Source organism: Homo sapiens, chromosome 20 (assembly GCF_000001405.40).
Source record: "Homo sapiens chromosome 20, GRCh38.p14 Primary Assembly".
NCBI classification, from domain to species: Eukaryota; Metazoa; Chordata; class Mammalia; order Primates; family Hominidae; genus Homo; species Homo sapiens.
In genome coordinates this window covers 64,277,387-64,289,516 of record NC_000020.11, presented here as the reverse complement: position 1 = coordinate 64,289,516, position 12,130 = coordinate 64,277,387, and the positions used below count along the sequence as shown (strand labels likewise).

The 12,130-nt window shown below is 50.0% G+C and overlaps 1 pseudogene, besides 1 other annotated feature; it reads right to left on the bottom strand.

Moving 5' to 3' along the window:
- Positions 3,170-3,362: a silencer, noted in NCBI's record as "fragment chr20:62917508-62917700 (GRCh37/hg19 assembly coordinates)". NCBI's record gives its function as "represses an EF-1alpha promoter that drives an FKBP-Casp9 reporter gene in an ReSE screen in K562 erythroleukemia cells {active_cell/tissue: K562}" and the evidence as "EXISTENCE:reporter gene assay evidence [ECO:0000049][PMID:32094911]".
- Positions 10,956-11,211, bottom strand: IL9RP5 (IL9R pseudogene 5; annotated as a pseudogene).

Here is a 12,130-nt window from a genome sequence, read left to right as displayed (position 1 = left end):
CTTCTTTCCCCAGAGGGGCTGGACTCAGGTGAGTATGGGGGTGGGGGCTCCTGCACTTCGACACAGGCAGCGGGAGGGTTTTCTCCCCATTCCCTCTGCACTCCCAACTTGAGCTATACTTTTTAAGAAAGTGATTCACCCTGCCTTTGCCCCCTTCCCCAGAACAGAACACGTTGATCATGGGCGATATTTTTCATTGTGCCAAAAAGTTGCCATGACCGTCATTAAACCTGTTTAACACCAAATAATAAGGAAAATAAAATAAAAAATTCGGGCATGGTGCAGAAACTCACTCCAAATAAATTACCTACCAAAATATATAATGGTGGAAATATTCCAAAATTCAATATTTTGGGATTTATACACAAAAGATAAACAAATTAGAGGCCAAGAGGCTGCCGGAAGGGAAAAACGGGGCCTGGAATGGCCGACGTGAGGAATGAGCTGGGCCTAAAGAGGCCACTGGCAGGCAGGAGCTGGACCTGCCGAAGTGGCCGAAAGGCAGGAGCTTTGGACTGGGGAGGCCACAGTGAGGCGAGAGCTAGCTGGGCGTGGAGAGTCCGCTGTGAGGCCAAGGCCGAGGCCAGGCCCGTGCAGGCCTTCGAGAGGCAGGAGGCCGGGCCTGCAAAGGCCGACTGGAGATCAAGTTCTGCGCCTGAAGAGGCTGCCAAAAGTCAAAAGCGGGGCCTGGGAAGGCCGCCGAGAGCCATGAGCTGGGCTGGGCCGAAAGAGGCCACTGGGAGGCAGGAGGAGCTGGGCCTGGAGAGGCTGCCAAAAGGCAGGAGCTTCGCCTGAGGATGCCACAGTGAGACACCATCTGGGTCTGGAGGGTCCACTGTGAGGCAGAGGCTGGCCTGTAGAGTCCGACAGTAGACAGAAGTTGGGCAAAAGGCTGATTTGAGGAAGTTTTGGGCTTCAACAGTCAGCCACGAGGCAGACACTAGGCCTGGAAATAGCCCGACAGTCATGAGTTGGGCCTAAATGGGCCACTATGAGGGAGGAGCTGTGCCTGTTGAGGCTCCTCCAAAAGGTCATCTGTACACACACAGTAAAAATCTGGGAGTAACTGAAGACAGAGTTGGTAAGTAAAATAAGAAACAGTTATAAGAAATTAAACTATGGTATCCATAGGCACTCAGTAAAAGGTCAGTTGATGTTAGCTGCTACTTTTTTGTTGTTTAGAGACAGGGTCTCACTCTGTCACCCAGGCTGGAGTGCAGAGGCCTGATCATGACTCACTGCAGTCTCAGCCTCCCTGGGCTCAAGTGATCCTCCCACCTCAGCCTCCCAAGTAGCTGGGACTACAGGAACATGCCACCACACTAGGCTAATTCATGTATTTTTCTGTAGGGATGGTGACTCCCTTTGTTTCCAAGGCCTATCGCAAACTCTTGGCCTCAAGCCATCCTCCTGCCTCAGCCTCCCAAAGTGTTGCGATTACCAGTGTGAGCCACCACACCTGGCCAGCTGCTACTTTTATCAATATTATTCTTATTCCACTCAATTAAAAATTATTATTTTCAAGGCTATGCAACAGTATGTATCCTACAGCGTAATTGTAAAAACATATACAGTCGTCGTCCCTCAGTATACAGAATTAGTTCCAGCCCTCCATCTCTGCATATACCAAAATCCATGCTTACTCACGTTTCGCTGTCACCCCTCTAGAATCCACGTATACGAAAATTCCAAATGTTAGTTGGGCATAGTGGCAAGCACCTGTAGTGTCAGCCACGTAGGAGATTGAGATGGGAGGATCGCTTCAGCCTGGAAGGTTGAGGCTGCAGTCAGCTGTGATAGCACTACCACACTCCAGCCTTGGACAAAAGAGGGAGACCCTGTCTCAGAAAAAAAACAAAATAAAACAGGTTAGAAATTGTAATCTAACCCTAAGCCTAACCCTAACCCTAACCACTAAGCCTAACCCCTAACCCCTACCCTAACCCTAACGCTAACCACTAACCCTAACCCCTAACTCCAAACCCTAACCCTAACCCCAAAACCTAACCCTAACCATAACCCCAAACCCAACCCCAACCCGAACCCCGAACCTGAACCCTAACCCTAACCCCAACCCTAACTCCTAACCCTAACCCCTAACCCTAACCCTAACCCTAACCAATAACCCTAACCCTAACCCTAACCCTAACCCCTAAACCCTAACCCTAACCCTAACCCTAACCCTAACCCTAACCCTAACCCTAACCCCTAATCCTAACCCTAACCCTAACCTAACCCTAACCCTAACCCTAACCCTAACCCCTAATCCTAACCCTTACCCTTACCCTAACCCTAACCCTAACCCCTAACCCCTAACCCTAACCCTAACCCTAACCCTACCCTAACCCTAACCCTAACCCTAACCCTAACCCTAACCCCTAATCCTAACCCTTACCCTTACCCTAACCCTAACCCTAACCCCTAACCCCTAACCCTAACCCTACCCTAACCCTAACCCTAACCCTAACCGTAACCCTAACCCTAACCCTAACCCCTAACCCTCACCCTCACCCTCACCCTGACCCCGACCCCTGACCCCGACCCTTGACCCCTGACCCCTGACCCCGACCCCGACCCCGACCCTAACCCCTGACCCTGACCCTAACCCTAACCCTAACCCCTGACCCTGACCCTGACCCTGACCCTGACCCTTAACCCTGACCCTGACCCTGACCCTGACCCTGACCCTACCCTAACCCTAACCCTAACCCTAACCCTAACCCTAAACCCTAACCCCTAACCCTAACCCTAACCCAACCCTAACCCTAACCCTAACCCCAACCCCAACCCCTAACCCCTAACCCTAACCCTAACCCTGATTATTCAGGGCTGCAAACAGAAAGGATTTTGTTCACTGTCGATGCGGCCCCGAGTTGTCCCAAAGCGAGGCTGTGCCCCCAAGGTGTGTGCTGAGAAAGCTGCTCCACCTTTGCGGTGTGCCCCGGGTCTGTGTTAAGCAGAACGCAGCTCTGCCCCCGCAAAGGCACCCCACGCCGGCGCGGGCACAGAGAGGCCCACCGCGCCGGCGCAGGCGCGCACAGGCTGGCGCGACGTGCGGGGGAGGCGCGGCGGATGCGCAGAGAGCACGCTGCCGGGCGGGGGTTGGGTTGGGGTGGCGTGGTGCAGGAGCACAGTCGCACGCCCCTGTGCTGGGGAGGGGAGCGCGGTGCAGGCGCGGAGACGCCCGTCGCAGCGGCGTGGCGCAGAGACGGGAGGAACCTCAATAATTCGAAAAGCCGGGCTCGACCGCCCCCTGCTTGCAGCTGGGCACTACAGGACTGGCTTGGTCACGGTGCTGTGCCAGTGCACCCCCTGCTGGCGACTAGGGCAGCTGCAGGGCTCTGTTGCTTATAGTGGTGGCCAGCGCCCCCTGCTGGCGCCGGGGCAATGCAGGGGCCTCTTGCTCACAGTATAGCGGCGGCACGCCGCCTGGTGGCAGCTAGGGACATTGCAGGGTCCTCTTGCTCACAGTGTGGTGGCAGCACACCCCCCTGCTGGCAGCTGGGGACACTGCCAGGCCCTCTTGCTCAAAGTGTAGTGGCGGCTGGCTCCCCTGCTGGCAGCTGGGGACACTGCCGGGCCCTCTTGCTTGCAGTGCAGTGGGGGCACGCCCTCTTCTGGCACCTGCTGGCACTACAGGAACCTCTCGCTCACAGTGTAGTGGCAGCACGCCCCCTGTTGGCAACCAGGGCACTGCGGGGTCCTCTTGCTCATGGTGTGGTGCCCATATGACACCTGCTGGCAGCTAAGGACACTGCAGGGCCCTGTTGCTCACAGTGTAGTCGTCGTACGCCGCCTGCTGGCAGCTGGAGACACTGCCTGGCCCTCTTGGTGGCAGTGTCGAGGCAGCACGCCACCTGCAGGCAGATGGGGACTAGGCGGGGGTCTCTTGCTCCCAGTGTGACGGTTGGCGTCCCCTACTGGCTGCCTCCTGCACCACTTAAAGTCAGAGCATCAGTTTTTAAGCCCCATCAGTTCTGTAAATTCAACTGAAACGGAGCTAGTACTAGGGAGAGCTGATGTCCCAGTTCTTGTCTAACTTGGAAGAAAGATTTTCACCAAGAGGCAGTACAAAAATGGCAGACAACTTCATTGAAAAGAAATACAGTGTAAAGAGCTCATTGTAGAAAAATAGGGAGGAGTGGGCTGATCGTGCATGAAAACATCCTAGGAGTCCTGTGCAGGGAATTTTATTTTGGACTTCTTCACATTCCTGTCTCTGTCTCAAGTCTCCACCTGTTCTCTTTGTCTGGTTTTCCTGCTACTGCCTTAGGTCCCCGACTTGCCACACTTAGGCTTGTGGGACCTCCTCACTGTTGGTTGAGGTACATGTGTGGTATCAATCCGAATCCACTCTGGCACCAGCCTCCTTCCCGCCATCCCAGGCAGGCTGACAGCGGTCACGTTTGTACCTAGTGTGCCTGCCTATCTCTTTTGAATGTCCTTCTTTGCCCTAATCTGCACTTATGGTGCCAGGTTTCTCTTAAGAATGTCCCCTTTGTCCTTCTTATCAGCATGTAGCTAGCAATATTCTGACATTTTTATTGCAGAGTGAATGATGATTGGGGCATCTTAAGAGGAGTTCTAGGGTGTTTCTTTCTGCATAGGTACCTCTTCTCCCTCCTACTCACAATTGACAAGTGCCCATGCACTCCAGCACTAGAGATGCTACTAATATGTGAATTTTTGGTGGTCCCTCCAGGTGAGCCTTCCCAGACTTTCCCTTTTCTAGGAGCTCCCCTCCTGTTCATGTCTAGCTATATATAAACTCTAACAGAGCCCACTATCCTGTGTCTTTCCAAAAATAGTGAGGGAATGATTAATTGGAAACCATAAGAAGTGATATGCATGTAGATGAAAACTTTACAACTTGCACAAATAACCACTCAAAATCATCCTTACACTAAAAATGCAAAACTATACAATTTCTAGAAGAAACTATAGAAGAAAAGCTATGTGCCTTTGGATTTGGTAATGAATTTTAACAAATGACACAAAAGGTTGATATACACAGAAGAAATGACAATGTGGATTTCTTAATCTTTAAAGTTTATACTCTGGAAGAGACCTTCTTAAGAGAACAAAAAGACAAGCCACATATTGAAGAAAATATTTGCAAAATACAGATCTGAGAAAGAATTTGTATTCAAAATATATAAAAAATTCTTAAAACTAAACAAGTTAAACAGCACAATTAAAAATGCACACAGATCTGAACAGACACCTCACCAAAGAAGATCTACAGATGGCAAGTAAACATACAAAAAGATGCTCAACATACTACAGAACTGAAAACCAGGAGATAGCACAGCTGGTCTATATCTATTAGAACTGCTAAACTCTAAAAAAATCACAAATTGCTGCAAGAAAGACAATAACTCTTTTCATTGCTGGTGGAAGACAGTGTATAAGACCAGAATATGCCACCCCAAAATATGTCCCTTTGGCATAAGAATTATTCCAAGATGATTATTTTGAAAAAAAATGCTAACAAAGGAAGTTCCAAAACCAGAGTAGAAGTTACCCTTCTGTAAGGAAAATTTACATCTATAAAGGAAATCCCCATTTAAAAGCTACCTCTCTCTCGGCACCAAGAAGAGAAGGATAACTAAATCACTAGAGTCTTATCAATGGAGGACGCATGGACTTCAGTCTGCATAACAAACGTTACTCTTGTCTAATGTGGTTTTGCTGGTTAACTCCCCACTACTGTGCCTCAAATCTTCAAGTTGAAGATAGTATTTACACTTGAATTGAAAACCACCTGCTGGAGATTTACTCATTTTTCCCTGAGTATCGCCCATGTATCCATAAGGTATACATGTTTTTAAACTTTTCTACATTTTTCTCATTTTAATCTGTCATTTGTTACAGAGGGTCCAATCTAAGAATTCTGAAAAGATAGAGAGAAAATTATTTTTCCTCACCTATTACAAGTTGGGCAGTTTTTTCCAAAGCTAAATAAGTCTCTCCTTACAATCCAAAAACGACATTCCTAAGTATTTTGACAACCACTTTGATGTGATTTCCAAACAAAAGCTACCATGCAATTATGTACAGAAGCCCTATTCATAATGACCAAAGGAAAAAAAGGAATCAGAAAGTCTTACAATAGATGACTGTGTGGGAACCCCCTCAGACATCAAGAGTTATTATAAAGATTATTTAAATGAAAACATTTGAGATACCGAAGATGAAGGAAGAAATCTTACCAGAACTTACTTTATCCAATTAAAGCACAGCTCCCAGAAAATACAGCTGCCATTAACCCCATCCACGGAGTTCCTTGCAAATTCAGCTGCCGTTAACCCCATCCATGGAGCGCCCAGAAAATACAGCTGCCGTTAACCCCATCCACGAAGTTTCTTGCAAATTCAGCTGCCATGAAGATAGACTGCTCATTCCCATTAGCATTGATAAATGAAAATGAAATCCTAAGCTCCCAGCTGACTGAACAGACCCACTCTTGGCTGAGGGGACCCCAGAGTAACTTTCAAAACTGAGTTCTCAGCTTGGCCAGAATGGGATGATGGGAGTCAGGTACACCCCATTATACCCCCTGCTTTGCAAACCATGATGAGGCTTTCTTCCCTAAGGATTTAACAGAAACCAGCCCTTTCAAAATCACCACTGATATCAACCTCTCCTTTCTTGCCTGATAAGAGACCACCCATGACGGAGAGGTTCTGGACAGCACACAGAGGATGCACAGAGCGAGTTTTCATGTCCTCTGCTTCACCTTTTAATGTCAGAGGGCTGAAAACTCCACCCTGGGATGATGCTAACACTGCTATTTTTTGTACATGGGACCCATGAAGAACCAAGGAACTCAGTTGTGCATGCACGCATTTCCCCTTTCATAAATATTCATGACTCCGCCTAGAGCTTATTAAAGATGTGTATTTGGCCATGCCACTCAGCATAAATTACTGTTTCCTTCACCTCTTCCTTGAAGTGTCTTGTTTCTAGTTTCTGGCTGGAGGCTATGCTTCCCAGCCTATCAGAAGGACTACCCTGCAGGCTGCAACCCTTTACAGGAAATAAATACCTCACTGGGTGCAGTGCCTATAATCCCAGCACTTTGGGAGGCCGAGGCAGGTGGATCACCTGAGGTCAGGCGTTCAAGACCAGACTGGCCAACATGGTGAAACCTCATCTCTACTAAAAAAACAAAAATTAGCCAGGCATAGTGGTGAGGGTCTGTAATCCCAGCTAATCGAGAGGCTGATGCAGGAGAATCACTTGAACCTGGGAGGTGGAGGTTGCAGTGAGCCAAGATTACGCCATTGCACTCCAGCCTGGGCAAGAAGAGTGAAACTCCGTCTCAAAAAAATAAAAATAAACAAAAATATAGAAATCTCTCCTTTCCATATTTATGAACCTCATCATTCTTTAGTTGACAGCATTAAAAAGTTCAAAAAGACCTTCCATACTCTCCCACAGAAGCCCTAGAAATTGTCATTTTGTTAATCATTTTGGATGCTTGAGAACTGAGAATCTGACAGTGGCCTAGTATCCGGAATATACAAAGAACTCTTACAACTCAAGAACAAAAAGACAAACAACCCCCACCCACCTCCCATGCAAAATGGGCAGAAGAATTAAAGACACTTTTCTCCAAAGAAGATACAGAAATAACACATGAAAAGATATTCAACATCAGTAACCATTAGGGAAATGAAATGCAAATCTAAACTACAAAAAGATACCACTTCATACCTATTAGAATGGTTATTACAAAAAAAGAAAGAAACAGAAACTAACATGCAGTGTCAGGAAGTAGAGAAACGTGAACATTGCTGATGGGCATGTCATATGGTGCAGACACTGTGGGAAATAGTTTGGTGGTTCTGCAAAACGCTAAACAGAATTACCATAGAACCCAGCAACTTCATTCCTAGATATATATACATAAAAGAATGGAAAAGAGGTATTCAAACAAAAACTTGTATACACATGTTTATAACGGTGTTATTCACAATTTTAAAAAGTTGGAAACAGGCCGGGTGCGGTGGCTCATGCCTGTAATCCCAGCACTTTGGGAGGCAGAGGCGGGCGGACCACCTGAGGTCAGGAGTTCAAGACCAGCCTGGCCAACATGGTGAAACCCCATCTCTACAAAAGTACCAAAATTAGCCGGGAGTGGTGGCAGGTGCCTGTAATCCCAGCTACTCGGGAGGCTGAGGCGGGAGAATCACCTGAACCTGGGAGGCAGAGGTTGCAGTGAGCCGAGGGCACGCCATTGCACTCCAGCCTAGGTGACAAGAGCAAAACTCCATCTCAAAAACAACAACAACAACAACAAAACACAGCCCAAATGTCCACCAACAAATGAACAGGAAAGTCAAATATGGTCTATTTCTATAACAGCATAATATTCGGCTGTGAAAAGGGTTGAGGCACTGACATTACAATGTGGACGAACCTCAAAACATGCTAAAAGCAAGAAGCTGAACACAAAAGGTCACATACTTCATGATTCCATTCATGGAGAATATCCAGAATACGTAAATCTACAGAGACAGAAAGCAGATTAGTGGTCGCCGGGGGTCGGAGGGAGGGCACATTGGGTAGCAGCTGCTTAATAGGTAGGGGGCTTCCTTTTGGGGTTTTGGAACTAAGAGGTGATGGTTGCACAATATTTTGCAGGTTCACAATGTCACTGAATTTTACATCTTAAAACAGTTAATTTTATATTATGTGGATTTTACCTGAATAAAAAAACAAAATCCCACCCCAGCATTCCCTCACCAGGGTGAGCCCTCTTCCCACATGCTCCCTTAGCCTGGGGTTCAAGGCCCTCCACAGCCCAGCGCTGTCTAGGCCTGGCCAACCACATTCTGGACACATGTCTGCCAGCTCCTAAACCCATGGCCGTTTCCTCATTCCAGATCCAGGTCACCTTCTCTCGCCTTCACAGACACCCAGGGATCAGCAACACCTCAGGGCTCACAGGGCCCTTTGAACCTTGTCCTACTGTAATCCAGACCTTGACACATGGTCTCCAAGGGTTGTCCCATCTCAATAAAAGGAAATCAGAGTTTTCTGAGCACCAACGTGTGCTGGTGTCTTGCTCAGGTGAACTCCCTGCTATCTATAGCTAGTCCCCTGTGCAGAGCGGAGGGCCAGGCTCAGGTGGCTGAGTGACTCACCTGACCTGCAATCCCACAGCCTCCAGTGGCTTCACACTCAGGTTCCAGCCCAGAGCCAGGGCTCCAGGTGCCACCCAGGGAAAGTTTGTGAGTCAGATGAACGTGTGTCCAGCCCACACAGGAGAGGCATTGAAGCTGTGCGGTCACTTTTGTGATCATGAGGTGGTCCAGGCCCCATGAGAAACCTGATGAATCAGGCAGACCCTGTTTATGTACACCAACCCAAGGCTCCCCAGAGGCCAGCTCCAGGAAGTGGATTCACACTAGTATTTGATACTTAGTTAGAGCTGAGGATGCCTGAACCTTGCTTCCGTCCACACCCTCCCAATCTCTGGATGCTAAAGATACATTCTCAGGCCTGCCTCAACCCTGCTGACCAGGATCTGGTCTGAGGCTCCCCACAAAACCTCTGAGACTCCCCACAAACCTCAGGGGCTCGAAAGGCACACAGGGTGGGGAGGATGCTTATCGGAGCCAGGCTTTTGCCTTTGGGGGGCCTCGGACTGCAAGTACTTTTTTTTTTTTTTTTTGCCCAGGCCACAGGGAGCATGGGAACTCCCAGGAGAGGTGTTCCCTGGAGCCTGGGGTCCAGAGAGGGACCCAGCCTCTGTTTTACCCTGCCTTCAAAACTTCAGCACCCCCAACCCCATAATAGTCTCATCCCAGCCCTCACTGGGCAGAGGATCCCAGCACCAGCCCCATCCCCAGCAGTCAGGCCCTCCCGTGATCTGCCTGGGGCACCCTGGAAGGGGCCATGGTGCCTTTGGGGCCAGCAGGAATGTGGAGATCACTGGCAGAGGCAGGGACAAGGTTATAGGTTGAGTTCCATCCCTAACAATTCATATGTTGAAGCCCTAACACCCAGTACCTACAAGTATGGCATTATATGGAAATAGGGTCTTTGCAAATGATGAAGTTCGGAAGTCATTAGGGCCATGCTTCATTCATGATGATTATGTCCTTATCAAAAGGGGAATGTGGACACAGAAACACGCACAGGGAAGAAGGTTTGTGAAGACTGGAGCTTTGCTGTCACAAGCAAAGAAACTACCAGAAGCTGGAGAAAGGCCCTGGAACAGATGCCTCCCTAGGGCCGGCCCTGCCAACACCCTCATTCCAGACTCTGGACTTCAGAACTTCGAGACAACAGATCTCTGTGGACCAGGAGGGATGGGGTGGAGGTGGCCTCCCTGAAGATGTTCCCTGAGTCTCCACCCCACTGTACCCAGAGCTGACCCTGAGCCTCCATCCTGCTGTCACTGGAGCCTGGAAAACCCAGGGCTGCCCAAACCCCGTGCCTCACATCTCCCCGGGCTCCTCCTCCAGCTATCAACACTTTGGAACAGCCGTTATGTCCCTTTAATCTCTAGGAAAGGTGCCTCAGGAAGGCACAGGAAGAGGCACAAGATGGTGTCTCAACTGTGTCCACTGGGCCCAGGCTGGCCCTTTAAGGAGGTGAGGGCAGGCCGTGGGATCACATCCCTCTTCTCAGAGAGGCCAGGGATAAGGCCAGAAAGGGGACAGGAGGAAGTGTTGGGGCGGAGGGGTGGCAGTGCTGTGGGAAGAGGATGCTGAGGGCAGTGGCCCCTCCCCACAGGTGCCAAGTGGAGTGGGTGAGGAGGAGCCTTCAGCCTCCATCTGGACCAGACCTCTAACCATTGCATAGGTGCCACTTCTTGGGAGGTCCAGTCCCAGCCAAGGGTCAGCTCCAGAGATTTTATTTTCCCCAAAATGGACATGATGCAGCTGGCTAAGTCATGGTTCTAGAACTTTCAGGAGTGACCCTGCTACCTGATAGGAGTGAGCAACACCCCCTGGAGGTCCTCATGTAGCCCGTGCCTCTGCCTGTGACCAGCTACCACCCAAGCACCTCCTCACACAGTCTCTGGGCCCTGCTGGTCACAGGAAAGGCTACCGGCAAGGGCTGGGATGGCCCAGGCTCTGCGTGTTTCCTGGGATGGCAGAGGGGTGGCCCCCACCACCTTAGCGGATCAAGGCACAGTAGTTACTGCTGCTGCCCTCTGAGTCTGGGGGAGCTGGCCAGGTGGGGGATATGGGGCATTAAGACAGCCCTGATCTCTGACACAGAACAACAGGCCTGGGGCAGGGCTCATGCTGTTCTCCCTCTTGACCATCAGAACAACCACCTAACCACCCAGTGCCCAGCTGCCCAGGGCCCTCCTAGATCAAAGGGATGCCCTGCCCGTGTGGTCTATGACTCCACCCCTGCTCTAACCACCCAGTGCCCAGCTGCCCAGAGCCCTCCTAGATCAAAGGGACGTCCTGCCCGTGTGGTCTGACTCCACCCCTGCTCTAACCACCCAGTGCCCAGCTGCCCAGGGCCCTCCTAGGTCAAAGGGACGTCCTGCCCGTGTGGTCTATGACTCCACCCCTGCTCTAACCACCCAGTGCCCAGCTGCCCAGGGCCCTCCTAGGTCAAAGGGACGTCCTGCCCGTGTGGTCTATGACTCTATCCCCGCTTTCTGCTATTTCCTCTTTCATGCAGAACCTCAAGTGCTAATTTGGACATTCTGGTTCCAACATAGTGGAGCAATGGGTTACATCTCTGTCTCCAAGAGAAAGAGAAGGGAAAAGACATAAGCACAAGGTCCACAGTTGTTCAGAGCATCTCTGTCTCCAAGAGAAAGAGAAGGGAAAGACATAAGCACAAGGTCCACAGTTGTTCAGAGTCAGGTTGCAAGTGGAGCCCCTGGTGACGGGCATCTGACAGAGAGCTGGGGCACAGCAGGGTTAGGGTTAGGATGAGGTTTGCAAGGAGCTCGAATGGTGGGAGAGCATCCTGATGCCCAGCAGCAGCAGGGAACCAGAAGGAAGGGGTTTCTGCAGACGGATCAAGGAGGCTCACTGATTCCCAGAGACCATTACCCTTCATATGTCCAGGCCCCTGGCTTGAAGACCAGCTCTCCTCATCCCACTATGAGGTTGGCCAATGACTGTCCCTACTCCAGCCTGGTTTG